Genomic DNA, 16,931 nt, shown 5'->3' on the forward strand with positions numbered 1-16,931 from the left:
GAGAGAGCCAGCGAGAGAAAGGCGGAGGACTGCCGTGAATTCTATTTGTACTAGTTGCCTTTTGAAAGCATATCATGTATTTGCTCACTGCTATTTGTGAGTGGCCAGTGGATAATTTTAAGGGCTCTGAATCTGGATCTTGGTTCGTCTTTTCCTTTGCAATGTCTAAGCCTCTTTCATTTTTATGCACTCTGCATGGAATAATCACCGAAAAAGGAGCTGAGGAGACTCCATATTAGACTTGCGTTCCAAATACCGCTCTAATCTGGACTTAGCCTACCTAAATAGTCCTCCTGTGTTACCAGGTTTGGATCACTTTATCCTGTTTGCCAAAATGTGTACCCGTTTGGAGACCTCTTTCATGCATGGCGTCCTGGGTCCCCATGTATTGAAAGCAAATATTTGTTTCCTGCCTCTGTGTTGGGGGTTCTCTCACATACCAGGAAGGAGGCACCACTGACCTTTTGGGAAGCAGAGGGAAAATTATGATAGAATTGGCATCCTGCTTTGAAAAATGTAGTCTTTTGTTTATTTGCTAGCAGACATTGTAGCACTGAATACATCTTTGGGTCTGACAATGGGACCGGTTGAACAATGCAGCTGTCAAACTAGCTTAATGCATGTCTGGGGCTTTATTTTTTTCTTTTTCAACACCCTTTTTTATCTCCTATAATCTTGTTTGTATAGACTATCAGAATGAAGAGCTTTTGCAACTGCTTGTTTGTGGTTTAGTGCTTTTAAAAAATTTAGTATCTACCGTTCATAGAGCTTTTTGCATTCTGCCGCTATGTTGGTTGGATTAAGTTAGAGATTTATTTCTTACCTCTCTGTTAACTACTGAAAGAAAACTTATTGATTGAGAATGCTTGTAATACCATTATCATTCTGGCAAATGCCTTGTGATCAGACCTGCCTCTATGGTATTTAAAGCTTGGGGATTTTTAATTTGCTCATTTGGTGAACTTATGAAACATAGCATGAAAAAGAGTTAAGAGGAATATTCTTGATGTTTACGTAAATTACAGTTTTTAGTCTCTGCTTCTCCCTTTGGCATCCATGTAGATAAACGGTTTAGAAATTCAAGGACAAGTGAGAACTTTTGCCCTCACAATTTCGGTCACAAACTATTATTATATAGCCTATTAAGTTGTGAAGTTCAAGGTCTCTGTGGAATATATTGATTTTTGATTTATGCTTATGTCCTTATAAAATGCCTTTCTATGCAGGGCAAACATTTCTCACATCTTCAAATATCTTTCATTTTACAAGATAAGCGTTGGTTTCTAAGGTGAGAACAGTGAAGCTTTCGACAGAGAAAATGGAAAAATCTGTTTCAAACTTCTCAAATAATGAAACCATTCATATTGCCACATAAGAAATAAAAGAATTGGCCCTAGACTAGTGAATTATAATTGATTTACATGAAAATCATTTTACTAAGGTTGACTTCTGTGAAGAATATATCTTATCTAACATTCTAATGTGTTGCTTAATTAGCTGTTTGTGCCACAGCAATATATCAGAATATATTAGTACATTTATAGAGAGAGTTTAAGTACCTCATTTTAAAAAACAGAGGGGAAATTGTTTTGAAGGGTAATTTTTCAAACTTTAGTTGTAAATATTCCCTATTGGATTATATTTTGGTTTAAATTAATGATGTTCTCAATAAATAAGAAACAAGATGTATTACTTAGGAAAACAGTTATGAAACATGAGCTATTTTTTAGAATTTGGACGTGAATTTCAGTTTTTTTCAATTTAAGTTGAAATGTTACAAAAAATTTTAATACAGGATTATTAAAATAAATGTTACCGGATAAATAGAATTGCCTTCTAAAGTAGAGATTTTTCTATGGACAGTATTTTCAGAGTAGGTACACTCAAAACATATGTGCAGCATAATCATATTTTTTAAGTTATCGGTTGTGAATAGAGTGAATTTTAAATGCATGCCTGTGATGTTGTCTTACTTGCGATGGGATCGGAACTGCTCATTCCATCGTATACCAATAACTGCTTTCAAGATGGGCTCATAAAAGGTAATTGGTGAAGCTTTATATCTGAGGCCGGCACACGGTTTCCAGCACACTCCGATTCTGCTTCCATGGGAAATGTTTAATCCAAAACAAAGGTTGCAAGTCAATTTTGTGTGGGTTGGGAGGAAAGTAGCCTTCTGTGCTCCCTAGCTGCTTGTCCGTGGCCCGCTTAAAGAAACGACGTGGAAACCCCCACGTTGAATTTTTGACTAAATTAGCAGTTATTTATCTGTGATCTAGTCACTCTAATTCCTGGGTAGTCACAGTTAGGTACGGAAACGAGGTAACTCTCTTCTCACTTTGTTTGCTTTTCCGGTGGTTGGATTATTACCAGCTCCCGGAATTTGGAAGCTGCCCCCATTCTAGCATCCGACATACATATGTCTTTTCCTTTCACCTGATAGGGACGGTGTGAGGTTGCCCGAAGCTGGCAAACTTGTCTACATCTATTTCCACAACAGGAACAGGATACGTAATCTGTATCCTTCCATAAGCCTCTATATGTAATGATTCCTCAAGGTAGTGACTTTAACAAATGTTGGAGGAAAGTTTAATTCTAAGCCCAGACATGCAGAAAAATGAATAGCAAAAGATTCAAACTGGGAAAATGACTTCTTTCCACAGAAAGTAAATATTGCACCCTAAGCCCTTCTGCCATGAGCTTTGGGAATATTCACATAGATGTGTTCAGCAGACCACAGACTGAGATCTCTAACCCCCTGTGTATGAATATTCCTTGATTTGTTAAAATGAAACCAGACAGTTTTGCTTTTTTTAAAATAGGAGGGTATACATTTGCAAAAATCTCCTTTTGGGGCTGAAAAACGAAAGTGAGCATTTGATTAGTATTCATATCTAGAACTTTGTAGCAAGTGCAGATTGTGCTAGAAGACCGAGGAAGTCATTCAAAGAGTGAATCAATACTAATTATTGTAATCAGGGGGGTTAATTAGGTGAAAATGTGGCTGATAAAAAGTTCATTGAGCACAGCCATGGAAACACGCAGGTTCTTGGAAAGAAAGTAAAATGCACAAGGAAGAGTGTTACGTGGGGACGATCATTCTGTATTTAAGGTGTCAGAATTCATAGACGAAAAGCATACCTTGGTTTTGTCATCATGGTAGTGAGCATATTAGAAATATCCCACTTAGATTTCTTTGTATGGAGATTTCTGTAACAGTCATTAACAGAATGCAGTTTGTTTTGTGGCATCATCTTCTTTGTGGCATTGATCTGTACTTTCTGGAACAGTAATGAGCACAAGTCCATTCAGTGGCAATAATGCCTTCTTGGGTCACCTTTATTAGCCTTCACTGAATTTCTTTGCATATTTTGATAATTCCTGGGGAATTTGCGGGGGGGGGGGGGGAGCATTCCTGATTCATAAAACTATTGATTGCTTCTCTAATTGTTCCTGGATATGGGATTCTTTTTCTGAACTAACAGTGACTTTTGTTGGGTAGGAAAGACAAGGCAGTGGTGTGGAGAGGATTAAAATTCGTGGCAATTGACTTGGCTGACATTGGAAAGAGAGTGTCCAAGGAGGGACAGGACGTGGGAGGTTTTAATGTTGTAGCCCATTCAGAATTAAAATGAAGTGTCCTAGAGCCGAAGCACCTTTCTGATTAAATGGCATCAATTCACAGAGATCGGACTAAGATGGAAGTTGTGTGTGTGTGTGTGTGTGCGCGTGTGTGTGAGTGTGTGTGTGTGCGTGCGCGCGTCGGAACCTCCGTTCAACTCAGAGATGTTGCTGGTTAACCCTGATTTTCGATGAGGTACACTTTGTTCCCAAACACACCATTCTGCTTCATGGAACGTTGTCAGCAATTATCAGGTACAGGTGTGTTTATCTCCCCCCACAGCTTTCTTCTGAGTGTGTGACTGATCCGGCACATTTTCTTGTATGTCAAGACCATCAAAGTTAACAGGAAATGGCATCTGTGGAGAGAGGGTGACACCAGCCCTGAGTGACATGTATTACGAGGGCAGATTGAACTCCTGCTACTTCAGCCCATTCCAGGTTGACCCGCCCATGATTGGCTGTTTAGGATGGTGATGAATCACTTGAGTTTAGGGAGCAGGATTGGCAGCATGCCCTCAGAGAAAAATAAAAACTAGAATTTCCCTGCAAGACTATTTAGTTCCACAAACTTTGTTGTCATGGAAAGGAAGAGCTTGAGGTTTCAAGTTATGATGCTGACATACCTCCGATATGCGTGGCTGTTTTCATCCCCTTCTTCAGAAGGCCTGCAGCTGCAATCAGTAGAAAACTCTGTGTTGAAGCTTACAGGCAGCATCACGGGCTTCTAGCAGGTCTGTGAACTGACTAGCCTGGGCACAGTTGTGCCTTTATGCGGAAATTGATGAGTTGCTTTTCATCCTTCTTGTAAGGCTCTCCATCTCAGTCCCACCAGGACAGCAGGCCCTGCGATGTTGCTCATGCTTTGCTTTGTGAACATCCTGGGCTGAGAGTCCAGCTCTCCTCTGGGCTCGATGAGAAGGCTGACCTGCTCATTTGGAGATGCCTTTAAGGTATCATGTCTGTAAATGAAAACTCATGTTGACCTTGTTTATGAAAAACGATTTGATAAAAACGAATGGAGACCCCATTCCAAGCCTCAGGATGTTCGGTGCCTGCTCTCCAGAAACGATAACCTCCCTCTTCCCTCTGGGTCTGGCTACAGGCCTTAGAAGTATCAGTGGAAACCTCAGTGCTAAAAGAACAATCGAATCAGTACTGGCCTTCTCTCTTCCTTTCCAACTGCCCGTTGTAGGTTTTAACAAAGATAGGGGTGGGGGTGTTGAAATAAGGAATAAAAATGAAACTTATTAACAATCTACCTGGCACTACACTAACTGGTTACTTTGATCTTGTATAATTTAATCCTCAGATATCCAAGAGTTAATGGTAGTTGTTATTCCCATTTTAAAGATGAAAAACTGAGCCCGAGAGAGGTAAAGTCACAGGCCCATAGACACAGTGGGAGGAACTATGACCCTGTATTCAGCCAAACACCTCCCATGAGCCATCTTGACAGTATAACTATTTAATAGTTGACATTTTAAAGACATTTCTTTCTCTGGTGCTGTGGTTCCACTGTAGACGTTGATTTGTGTCTCCTGGCTTTAACTAGCGAGGAAGTTGTACAATTCAGCGAGGAACTGTCACGTAGGATCTGCGGTCAAATCCCTGGTCACTGTTTATAGTTTCAGCTGCTCAGCCCTTCCTAAATTACAGCTCTTTTAAACTTACCTTGCAGTGCCAATTTTGGGAAGGGCATAGGACTGAAGAAATGGAGCACAGTGCTAATGCAGAAAGCATCTAGGAAGGAAGAAAGGAAACATTTTTGAAAGTACCAATGTAGATTCTAACAACTCTCTCTTCTGTACCCTCATTTGTTCACCTTACAGCTGAGGAGGTCTTTGAATTAAAGCATCCCATGCCTCACTTCTCTTGGGCTTGAATCTGTATAATGGGAACAGATGTTGGAAGGAACAATAGACAATTTTAAAGCATTATGAAATTAAAGTATGAATTTTTATGCATCTCGGGGGCCAAAATAGGTCATACGGCAATGAAAACCAAGCAAGTAACAAACATACATGCAGTGCTCAATGAAAGACATAGTCTGGGGCCTCAAGCAACTCACAGCACTCATGGAACAAAGAGTAGACAGTGAATGAGGAGGGGTCAAGTGGCGAGATGCAGAGACAGGGGAGTTGAGCTGGGCCCTGAAGGATGGGCAGATGGAGGTGGGTGAGGGGGAGAGGGAAGGTGTCATTAGGACACCCTGAATTCATCTTTATTATTAAAAAAAAAAAAAACGCAAAATACAATCCTTAGCTTCATCTCCTTTCTTCCTCAGACCCTAATGTCATTTACATCTCTCCTCTTCTCTTACCTGCCCTATTCCTATGAAACAGGGCAAATATGTAGCTATTCATATAAAGAGGAAATTGAGAAGTGAAGTGATTAGGTCACATGACACTTTGTACTCAGCGATAGTGGTAGGACAAGATAGAACATACTCCACTCTGTATAGCTTGACTAGGTAGCTATACCACTTTTTCCTAAAGGCTTTGGGTAGTTCTTTTAAGAGAAAGAAAAAAAATTTCCCCTAATGGACTTCATGGGAATTAGCATCAAAAGCAAAGTTAAATAAAAAGTCATTTGGGATTTTCAAAAGCCTCTATCCTTGGCTAAAAATGGCTGGAGATTTGAACCATATTATAGGGAAAAAATAAATTTCCTGTGCTCAAAACCTTAATGTATTTTCAACCTACATGTCACTTTAATAGCTTGGTTATATAACTGCTGTAGTGATAATTAGGTTAACACATTGTACTTCTTATCTGAGGATCATGGTAGGCTTTGATTTTTCAGCCATTCATCTCTATTAGGAAGTACGGAATGGCCACGCTTAAGAAGAAAGGTCTAGCTGATGAATCAGAAAATTAAATGACTCATTCCCATTGTCAATCAACTCTTTGACAGAATGAAATGCTGAATCCAACAAGTCTGGTTCTTAAGCCTCAAAATGTCTTCACTCAGTCTGAAAGCAGTGCTTGCCCTAAAGATTCTGATCTGCATGTACTGGATCAGATATCTTCTGATCCTAGTGACCACGAGCTCTTTGGGAGGGATCAGTTACCATAGTGAGTCAAGTAGATTCATTTGCTTTATTTTAACAGAAACCAAAGCTTTGGCTCTCTTAATCCTCACTCTTTTTTCAAGATGTATTTGTTCAGAAAAAGGACAGACATTCAGGCACATGGGCTGTCATGCCCAGAGAGATTCCCTCTGAAGTAGAGAATTTGATTCCTGCCAAGATCCGTCTCAGACAACCCCACCCTCAAGCTTACCACATCCATTTCTCTTCCTTTCACCCCACCTGTTGCTGCCTTCTCCGGGACCGAATGTTACGCCTGCAACTGTGTCCTCCCAGCTGTTGCTGTTCAGCTGTTGTAGTCTGTCAAGCGGTAATGTCTCCTTTTTCTAAAATTTAACACCATGTGACAGTAAGACAAGAACTTCTGACCAGTTGGGGAAAACATGTCGTCGGGGTGGGGGCAGTGAGGGGTGGACTGGGAAGGAATGAAAACCTCATTCTGATAAGTGTAAATTTTGTTCCTGCCGCCAGGCTGGCACCAGATAAGGGCACTTGGTATGGTTTGACAAATCTCGGCATCTTCAAGAGGGCACTGGGACATTTCTTCAAAGGATTTTTTTTTTTCTGAGTGCCTGCCGTGTGCAAATCACAGTGCTAAACAGGGAAGCCTTTTTCTTCTCCCCACCCCTTCCCCAGACGTCTCCTTCCCAGTTTTCACATCCTATTGACTCCCTTCATAGTGGACAGTCTTCCATCCTCCCCCTCCTCTTCCTGGTAATGTCTGGAAAGGAATCCCAGGGCTCACTGCGAAGACAGCTGTTCCTAGTTCAGAAATCGGCCTTGGTCAAGGCAAGTCAAACATGATTTCTCTGGCAGATGAGCAACCCACGGCTCCTTTCTTCACTTTGGTAGCCACCTACTTCCTCAGACACGCAGCTGGAGAGGAAGTTTCTGCCACTGTCTGGCTCCCATTTGAGAGAGAGGAGGAGAAAAGGGAGAAAGAGAAAGCTGAGAAAGAAAGAAATAAAAAGGCCTGCAATCTTGGTACAATGGAGAAAGGAGAAAAAGGAAAGGGCAAGTTAGAGAGGGAAGTGATGAGATGGTTGGGCTCTGGGTGTGAGAGATCCACAGTGCTAACATTTCATTCCCTTGGATTGGAAGCTGCAGACCACGCTAGTGGGGTCCCTCCTTTGCGAGTGAGAAGGTATGTATCCAAGGAACTGTCTTCAGCTTGAAGGCCTCTTCACAAGGGAGATAAATTCATCATGATGTATTCTGGCTCTATGAAAAACAGCTTCAGAAAAACACAAGATTGCAAAAAATAAAAATAAATAGAAACCAGTGGAAGCTATTCTCAAGCAATGGTGACTACTTACTATTCCCTGAAAAAATGTAAAATGAGCTTAATAACGATTTCATCTTTATTGGCATTTACTTTTACTTAAATCGCCTTAGAAATGTGATAATGTCACTGTTCCAGAAGTTATCAAGATGGAGGGAAAATAAGTGATCATTTTAAACTTATAATTGGCGATATAAATATTTATTGTTTAAGTGATGTCATTACGGAACCAAGAAGAGATAGGCTTACAATGTGTCACTTAAGGATATGTTTGGGGTTTTTTGTTAACACATTAAAAAATGTTTATTTTTGCAAGTTGCTAATGAAACTGCAGTAAGCCAAGAACAAACACATGGTCACAAAGTCAGATATTCTCTCAGGTACTTAAAATTCATGTGGATTTCAAATGTATTGCCTGGCAATGATGGGAAATCCCCTCACAGGGCCTGTATTGCTTGCTCCAAATGGCTGTGAGCACGCTGGACGTGTTTTTTTGTTTCTTTGCTGTTGCTGTTAACTAAAACAGCTATGCTAATAAAATTTGAATTTGCAAATGTGATAGGGGAAAGATGTTTTGCATCCTGGTTTGTCATGACGAGCCAGAAATGAGAAGGAAAAAGAAATCCTTCAGTAAAGGTGGCTTTTTGAGTTGACTGAACAATGCTAGCACATCTTTGTTCTGTAGTTGAAGGGCTGATAGCTACTGCCTTTTAAGTGATGCTACCATGGGAAGTTATGTATAGGAATAATAAAAAATGGAAATGTCACAAGATATACAAGGTTGTCTGCACGAGCAGAAAATTAACTGTTGGGTTATAAACATGGGTCACGATATATCAAGCACCAGTCCCTAAATTATAGTAGCAACTTTGTGCAAAAATGTTGAAAGATCTCAAGTCAGTGGACTGTATTCTGGTTCACTGATTGAGTGAGGTGGCAGGAAAAGGGTTTGTATTCCAATTCAAGCAGTTTGTACTCTGCGTACAAATGCATTTATTAGCACTGTTTCCATTGAGTGTGTTTTTTTTTTAATGCCAGTGATAATTCAGTGCTCAATGACCTGTGGACAAAACTCTGTATGAGATGAGGTTCGAAGACGGAAGTGGAGCTGAAACTGCACAGTGCTTTCCCTTGCCTGGGAAGGCCTCATATAAAATGAGGTCATTCAGAAACTTTCCCTTGAAGTGCTTCCAATTCTTGAATTGCCTTTTGTTTGGGAAATGAATAGCAAGTTGATTAAAAAAAGGAGACAATTAGGGAAGGTAGGGGGATGGGGCTAAGAAGAGCTTAAGGTTTTTCCACAATGCAGCTAAAACTATGAGGAAACTTCATTGTTCAGGACAGCCTGGTCCCCAGTGATGGCAACACAGGGTGGTGTCACCAACCGGTTCATATCCACGGGTGGGGCCAGCTGATGGCGTCGTCCCCTCCACTGCTGTCGATAAGATCCTTGACTATAAAATAGCTTCATTGAACCCGAGCGTTCAACAGCGGCCCCATAGAGCTGTCTGCCAAATAACTCCAACTGCCAAAACATGATACCTGATGGCTCGTTACTGCATGAAAATTAAAAAAGGGGCCCTGTTGAGTTGTTTTTAGATTTTTTTTCTTCTTTCCAAAGCAGTGAAATGAGAAATTGAAGCTTTTCATCGGGTGGTATTTGGTTGGGTGTTCTTGTTTTGTTTTCTCAAGAGCTTTTGAAATTTGTATTTTTACAAATGGCTTTTGTGTATGTGCTGTGATCATGGAAACCGACTCGATATTAGAAATGAAAGCTACAAATGGAAGATTGTTGTCAATAACCTATGGTGGGGGGTGATGTGTGTGAGTATTTAGTTTCCCTCTGGTATCTACATCAAGTGCCTATGCAATCACTACATTATTTATTTGGCAGCCAAAGTATTTAAAGTCAGATGCACCCCATAAGCTCTCCTCGGTTCACATCACCATATCCCATGTAGAGTGAGTTTTCTTTTATATTTGACCCTGGTTTTGCTTATATCTTTAAACTGCAAAAGCAAATGTGATTTGAAAACTATGTTACACAGTAGTTAAATAAAGCAGTAACCTATGCACTTGGAATCCTCTCTCTATGACCTACTTACATACTACTTCACCCTCCTCATAGTATGATTAAAAGCTGCTTTGAATCCACTATTGCCTCAAGGGATTTGAGGCTAGAATTTAACAAACTGCTGAGAAGGCTTAAGTCAGTAAGAGGGCTTCCTTACAGCTTCTTCCAACTAATTCACATGCAATTAAAGAGAAAATAAGTATTTCAGAAGCGTACATGTTAATGAAACATGTTCTACCTTATAGAATGTAGATATACATGTTCTACCTTACAGAATGTAGCCTTTATGCTATGGCTGATTAGAAAATATTTTTCATTTTGATTAATGCAGTTGTGTTTTGCTTCTGTTTTGGAGGCCAAGTCTGCTCCTTTCTTAAAATAATTTTTATATAGTCAGCTGATTATATACATTAGATATTTATGCAAATAACGTATGGAAAACCAAGAACTGCCAAGGTTTGTCTTCATTTATCCAGCTAATTATTAAGATAATTGAAGACCAATCAAAATCCTGTAATTTCAAAGGCAGAAGAGTAGCTGGGGAATAAATGCAGCTTAGTAGTCTGGGGACAAGTTTGGCCCTTTGGGAGTATAAGAATTCACTCGATTGCAACCATTCCTCAGTTCCTTAGGAGCCCAGACCTGGTTCCTCCAGTAAGGTAGTATTTAAAAAATTAAGGTTAGTTTAGCCCTACATCTAATGATCTTGGAAATAGAAGGTCAAAAGCCAGATACATTGTTCAGCTGAAGAAGGCAACCAAGTCCATTAAGCATGTGTGGACTTAATTGAATATCCCAGGTCTGATACTTTGTATTGCTCAATGCATCAAACTGGATTTAAAATTGATATGTAAGTGTCCATTTGCCTTCATAACCTCTAAAGATAGTTAGCTGTCATCACACAAGAATCTGGTGAGAAATAATTAAAATCATATTTTGTCTATATCATGTCTGATACATTTAACTATTTGTAACTTGGTTGTTTAACCCTCTGGTTTGTGTGATGGTATCCTCAGGCATAATTTGTGAGGAGAAAGCCCAGCTTCCTAGCACAGTTCTGATTTTTAGAAAGACAAAGACTGAAAATTACATATTTCAAACAAAACCATGTGTGTGTGCGTGTATGTTTGTATAGGTATATGGATGTATAGCTGTATAGACACATACATTACCCTAAAAGTTTAAGATGTCATTACAAAATCAAGTGAAGGTTTCTCTAAGAGGTAAACTATAAACTTTTGGTACGCAATTTATGATGTTGATTCAGAATGTGAAATATGCCATGAAGTCTTACATACTTGTGACTACACTGTGAAAAGTTTGCCACCCACATAATCAACAGTGAGAACGATCAATTAGAATGTCACCTTAGAAACGAATTAGTTTTCCAGAACTTATGCAAATCACTTAAAAATTAAACTCGCCAGCTTCTCTGTTTTTTCTGAGTTTGGCCATTTTTCTCAATTCTTGTTAGTAAATCAGTCACAAATCTTAAGTGGATATTTAAGCTTCATGGCCCTTACATTACAGACCTAACACTCGTGAATTCACTCAGCTGGTTTCTAATTATTGTGTTAAATACTAGGAAATGGCAGATTCATGATTATCGTTTGTGTAGAAAACGTGATTTATGACTTTATTTTCAGCCGCTTATACTTCTTAGTGTTTGCAAGATGACAGAAAAGGCAGTGCCATCGTGCAGAGACAGGTTTGTCTTCCTTAGGGCACTGCGATAAGTCCCTAAATGTCACTTGGGTCATAGATCTGATCTTTATTTTGCCTAAACCTCCTATATCCTTTCGGTGATCGCCCTTAGTTCCTGCCCGGGCAAGCACACCACACCGAGGAGCATCGAAGCGAACCCTCGGGCTGCTCGCCTCCCGCGGCTGGGCTCTGGGAGCGCGGCTCGGGTATGGAAGTGGAGCGGGCTTTGGCGCCTGGGTGGCCCTAAACCTACTCCGAGCGGCCACGGCGGCCTCTTGCCAGGGACCCCCGGGCGGGGGAGCAGAGCCAGGCGGGGAGCGGGTTTGCCTTCGGGGGCCCAGGGGACCCTGAGAAGTCTGGCCGTGCCCGGGCGGTGAGCGCGGAGGCGGCCCGCCCTGTGTCCCCGCGGGGCGGAGCCGGGTTCGGGGCCGCGCTCTGGGCCGGCGGGCCCGCAGGGGTTAAGCGGCGGCGGGCGCCCCGCGAGCTCCGCCCCCGCCCGCCGCACCTGGCGCTCGGCAGCCGGCCGCCCCGGCGCTGGATTTCGGAGGGGATTGGCGGAGCGCGAGGAGAGAATGTGACAAGTGCCGGCTCGGCGGCCGCCGGGGGAGGCCGCGCGCACCTGTCCCTGCCCGTCTCGCGCCGCCCGCGGCCGCTCGGACGCGCGCAGAGCCGCCCCCCGCCGCTGCCGCCGCGTGCGCCCGCGAACATGACTTCTGCCTTCAAGCTGGATTTCCTCCCGGACATGATGGTCGAGGGCCGCCTGCTCGTTCCTGACAGAATGTGAGTGGCGCCGCGTCCCGAGGCCGGGCGAGCGGGCGTCCTCCTCCCAGAGTCGGCGGCGCGAAGGGGACGGGCGTCGCCCGCAGCTCCCGGGCGCGACTCGGCCGCTTCGGATCCGTCGCCTCCCTCGGCCTTCGGAGGCCGGCACGGGACGCGGGAGGAGGGAGCGGGTGCGGACGAGCAGCGCCGGCGGTGCAGGGCGCGGGGCTTCCCGGAGGGACGAGCGGAGCGCGGCGTCCCGGGGACCGGGCGGGGTCCGCGAGTCCGGGTGAGGACCAGCGGGCCGAGCGCGGCGTCCCGGGTCCCCGCGGGGTGAGTGGGGGACGGGCGGGGTCCACCGACCGGCGCGAGGACCCGCGAGCAGGGTGAGCGGGGCGCGGCGTCCCGGGGTCCGGGCGGGGTCCATGAGTCCAAGTGGGACCGGCGAGCCGGGCGCGGAGTCCCGGGGTCCGGTGGGGCGGGCGGGGACCGGGCGGGGTCTGGGGGTCCGGGTGAGGACTGAGCGGAGCGCGGCGTGACGGGGACCGGGCGGGGACCGGCGAGCGGGCACGGGGTCCGGGCGGGGTGCGCGCGTGCGAGTGTGCACGCTTGTGTCATTTGAAATGCGGGGCTGACGGAGCTCTGGTGGCCGGGGGGAAAGAGCTCTTCTTACCAAATTACCCGCTCATCTGATTTAATATTTGCAAAGATCCTTTCCTAAGGTGGGAGAGGGGAAGCGGAGACAAGGAAGGGCGGGGGGATAATTATAAAGCGTGAAACTAGCCAGGTGTACTTTATTGCAGAAATTAGAGGTAATTTTTACGTAATCATGGTTTGTCTGATATGCAGTCTGTAATTTAATAATTAATGTGATTCTGGTTGTTTTACATGTCGTCAAACTAAGGTAGAGCGTTTATTGGAAAGAAGTAGAGAGCTGGGATTCCTGAAGAAAGGAAAGTATGTCTAATTTTTAGCTGGCTTGATAGGAAAGTTTTTATTAGCTCGGAGGGGTCAGTAGGATCTATTTGTATTTCAGGCATGTTAGGAAAAGGAAACCTAAAAAGAGAGAAAAGATTGCCAGAGTGGGAACAAAAGGTCTGTGTCCTTTTTCGACATTTTAAGTTTTCTCTGATCAGGCGAGAAATTGGATAGCGGATCTAAGCTGTAATTAATCTAATCCAGTGAGAAAAAAATGGATTGGTATGGTAAGAGTGCGTGTAAAATGTTTCCTGTTCTACCCACTGTAGGACTTAACATCCCTATTCTGTCTGGCACCTTATGGTACTCTGCAGTATTGAGGTTATTCCAGGCTTTATGATCCATTTCCCTGGCAACTAACTTTCCCCTGCCATGCTAGATTCTTTTTCTAGCATGTTAAGTGTTATGAGTTAAGAGATTCTTGAGAAACTCTGCAGTGGCCAATTATTTGAGCTGCAAGGACCTCCCCACCAAAAAAAAGGAGGGGGGTGGAGGAGGGGGATGATAGAATCTGTTATGCAAATTGTCTTTTGAGTCAATATTAAGAATGTTAATTTGCTTGTACACGATCAGGTTCATCTTTTCCGTATTCTGTTTTGGTAGTTTTCTCCGAGATGTGAATCATGATTAGTAACATTTCCACGATATTTGTTTTAAGAGACCTCTGTCCTGTCCCCCATCTTAAAATATATACCTGTATAGACACGTAATACATGTTTGCACATGAGCTAGTATGAAAGTTTTATGCGTTTTCTCCTCTAGAGGCTAGAGGGTCCAGGCTAAACTGAAGAATTCGCCTAATCATGATTTTGAATTTATGGTCACCTGCTACTTAAGTGACCATAATATAGCTAAGCTGATGAATGCTCTATGAATTTAAAGTGTTAATGGCCTCAGAAAGATGCAGTTTCTTGTCAATTAAATTATGAATTACAAAAATTTAATTTATCCTTTTCATTTGGTGGATGAATGTGGCCTGTTCAAGCGATTTGCTCTGAACTGAGCCCTTGTGCCTTAGCCATGGAGTCTCCTATGAAAATCCTAACGTGACTTCCACCTCACTTCTCTTCCAAATGTTAGTTATTTCCAAATGATAGCCTTTGGAATCAAACCCAAATTGTTCTCAGCGTTTGTCAGCTGTTGCTTAATTGAACTAAGGGAAGAAAAGAGGATTTGTAAATGATAGTTTTATTATTTGTTTCCTAAATAGCTATTGTGTGTCTCCATAGCCCTGAGAACACTAGAGCATGCTTTTATATATCGTTCATAATTAACTCACATTAAATACTGTATCTGGGGATAGAGGTGTGTGGGGGGGAATATGACAAGTTGAAAATGCCTGAAATCCGCCTAAGTTGTAAGTTTTATTGCCATATTCACCCAGTTGAGAAGATAGCCATGCGGATTTATTGTTTTAGGGACTGGTTGTCATGTGTGGTATATTGCCATTTGGACTAAATTGCAGTCGGCTAGATATTGGCCTGTTCCTAAAAGGAACTTAAATAAAGCATAGGGGCTTTTCTGCTGTTGATTTTTCTAAAGCAGTAGAATATTTTCAATGGCGTTTTCCCACGAGAATATATTAGATAAGTTTGCAAGATGTAATATGTTTGAGTCCTCAAGGCAGATGAACAAATAGCTTTTGAGATGAATTATTACGCTTGATAGCCCCACGAGCTATCCAGTGTTTAAAGAGCCCAGATCATTTAAGGCTCTGTAGTGGTGTAGAATTGCTGTAACATATGCTTCAAAGTTTTGGGGTTTTAAACATTCGGTATCAAAACTATAAATGGAAATGGACATTTTAAATAATCTTGGCTATTAAAGTTTCATTGTCTTTGTGTTACTATACAATATCATCTACAATATTAGCCACACAGCATAATGAAAACAGGCACTGATTTTTTTTTAAATTTGATTTTAAACTGACAGTTGATTTTCAATTAAGATGGTGGAGAGTGTTTCCTCCTTTGATTCACCTTTTTAATGACCATATACATGCATTTAGGGTTTGTAAATGGTTTTGGATTTTTAAACAAAGCTAATAAATAAAGTCTCAGAAATGAGAAATTACAGTTAGACTGATAAACACAGCTTAAAAAGCATTAGGTGTTAGAATAAGACACTGAGAAGAGTCTACCAATAAATTAAAAATAAATTTTTTTTACATTTGGTAGGTAACCTTATTGAAAATGAGAAAAGTTATGTTGACTGTAAATTCATCAGCTTAATGAACTAGCTTTTTGTTAAGTCCTTTCAAGTTAGGATAACTGGCAAAATATCTATCAGTGTATAATTAAACTGAAGGGTGGTTCTAAGGACATCATTGTTAAAGCTGAAAAGGGCTTTAGAGACCATCTCATCAGACCTCATTTTATAGATTAAGAAACTGTTAGAGGGGCAGTGTGACGAGTCCAAGAAGTAATTACTGCCTCCCCCCAAAATAAGGAAACGTGAGTTGTTAGTTGAGTGCCTGCCATGCGCCAGGATAGTTTATTCACACCGTCTCTAATCTGCAGGGTGGATATTGCCCACATTTTACAGATGATGCTTAAAGAGGTGACCTGCTTGCCCCTGCCACATAGGCAGTAAATGGCAAAACTGTGGTTTTCAAGTAAGTGAACACATGTGGGGTGGCATGTAATGTTCATGGGTTGATGCAGAGAAGAACACTGAATTAAAGGATATGACATACCCTTTTATCAAAATCAAAACTGTGCCATGTGAGAATGAGCATAAGAAATAAGTATGTCACCTGATCAGGATTGATGTATGTGAAACATCATTTTATACTTTCTAATTTGATTCCAATTCGGTTATTCCATATATTTATTAACTAAGCAGAATACGTTTTAATTAAAAATCTTTTTGGTTTACAAGGTTCCAGCAAGATAAAGATCAAAAGCAGTGGGGTTCTGTTTTTCTCCTCCATGGGCATTTAAAGTCTATTTAGAAAATGCAGTTATAAATAATACGGAGATAACTGGCATTTATCACCTGATACTCTGATGGTCATGAAAGGAAATTAAAATGAGAAAAGTCTAAAGAAAAGACTTTGCGTATGGTTCTTTAAGGAAAATTTTTGAAGTGTTTTTTTCAGTTGAGATTGCTCCGTTAACAGCACATGTTATCAGCTGCTTTCCGAGAGGAAGAATTCATCCCACATTGGCTTTTTAGAACACTGATGTTATCTTTGATCTGGGCAGAGGTATTATTTTAATTGTTTAATCTTGCTGTTTAATTGCAATTTGCTGGGTTGAGATAACTTTGGCATCTGTTGATGAGATGCAGTGAGCTGGGGAAACAAGACCCTTGAAAGACAAGATAAAAAGGTGATGGGATTTTTGGATATGAACCTAGTAATTAAGATTTCATGGGATCATTTGGAGTGTTTTCCACTTCTCAGTGTTTGGTTGTTTTTT

At 41.9% G+C, this 16,931-nt stretch overlaps 1 protein-coding gene and 1 long non-coding RNA gene across 61 annotated transcripts in view, besides 2 other annotated features; one reads left to right on the forward strand and one right to left on the reverse strand.

The window, feature by feature from the left end:
• CELF2 (CUGBP Elav-like family member 2) overlaps positions 1–16,931 on the forward strand; it is an 874,126-nt gene that overhangs the window by 543,062 nt on the left and 314,133 nt on the right. For 10 of the 60 annotated variants that reach the window (NM_001326343.2, NM_001326340.2, XM_047424486.1 and 7 more), the window contains exon 1: positions 12,261–12,552. The exons of 40 other annotated variants lie outside the window; for them this stretch is intronic. In NM_001326343.2, coding sequence (NP_001313272.1) covers positions 12,479–12,552 — 74 coding nt within the window. In that variant the 5' untranslated portion in view covers positions 12,261–12,478. Of the gene's footprint in view, positions 1–47; positions 306–12,260; positions 12,553–12,660; positions 12,865–12,886; positions 12,918–13,144; positions 13,254–16,931 lie in introns of those variants that run through there. 10 more of the 60 variants (XM_047424495.1, NM_001326339.2, NM_001326338.2 and 7 more) reach the window with 7 other exon arrangements.
• Positions 3,413–5,645, reverse strand: CELF2-AS4 (CELF2 antisense RNA 4). The gene is made up of 3 exons (XR_007062052.1): positions 5,296–5,645; positions 4,248–4,583; positions 3,413–3,980 (listed from the first exon to the last, which is right to left on the reverse strand). It is a non-coding gene; the product is annotated as a CELF2 antisense RNA 4 (long non-coding RNA).
• Positions 11,918–12,067: a silencer, noted in NCBI's record as "silent region_2123". NCBI's record gives its function as "represses an Ori minimal core promoter by ATAC-STARR-seq in GM12878 lymphoblastoid cells {active_cell/tissue: GM12878}" and the evidence as "EXISTENCE:reporter gene assay evidence [ECO:0000049][PMID:35858748]".
• Positions 12,078–12,457: a silencer, noted in NCBI's record as "silent region_2124". NCBI's record gives its function as "represses an Ori minimal core promoter by ATAC-STARR-seq in GM12878 lymphoblastoid cells {active_cell/tissue: GM12878}" and the evidence as "EXISTENCE:reporter gene assay evidence [ECO:0000049][PMID:35858748]".

The sequence above is a fragment of the Homo sapiens genome, chromosome 10 (assembly GCF_000001405.40).
Source record: "Homo sapiens chromosome 10, GRCh38.p14 Primary Assembly".
Taxonomy (NCBI): domain Eukaryota; kingdom Metazoa; phylum Chordata; class Mammalia; order Primates; family Hominidae; genus Homo; species Homo sapiens.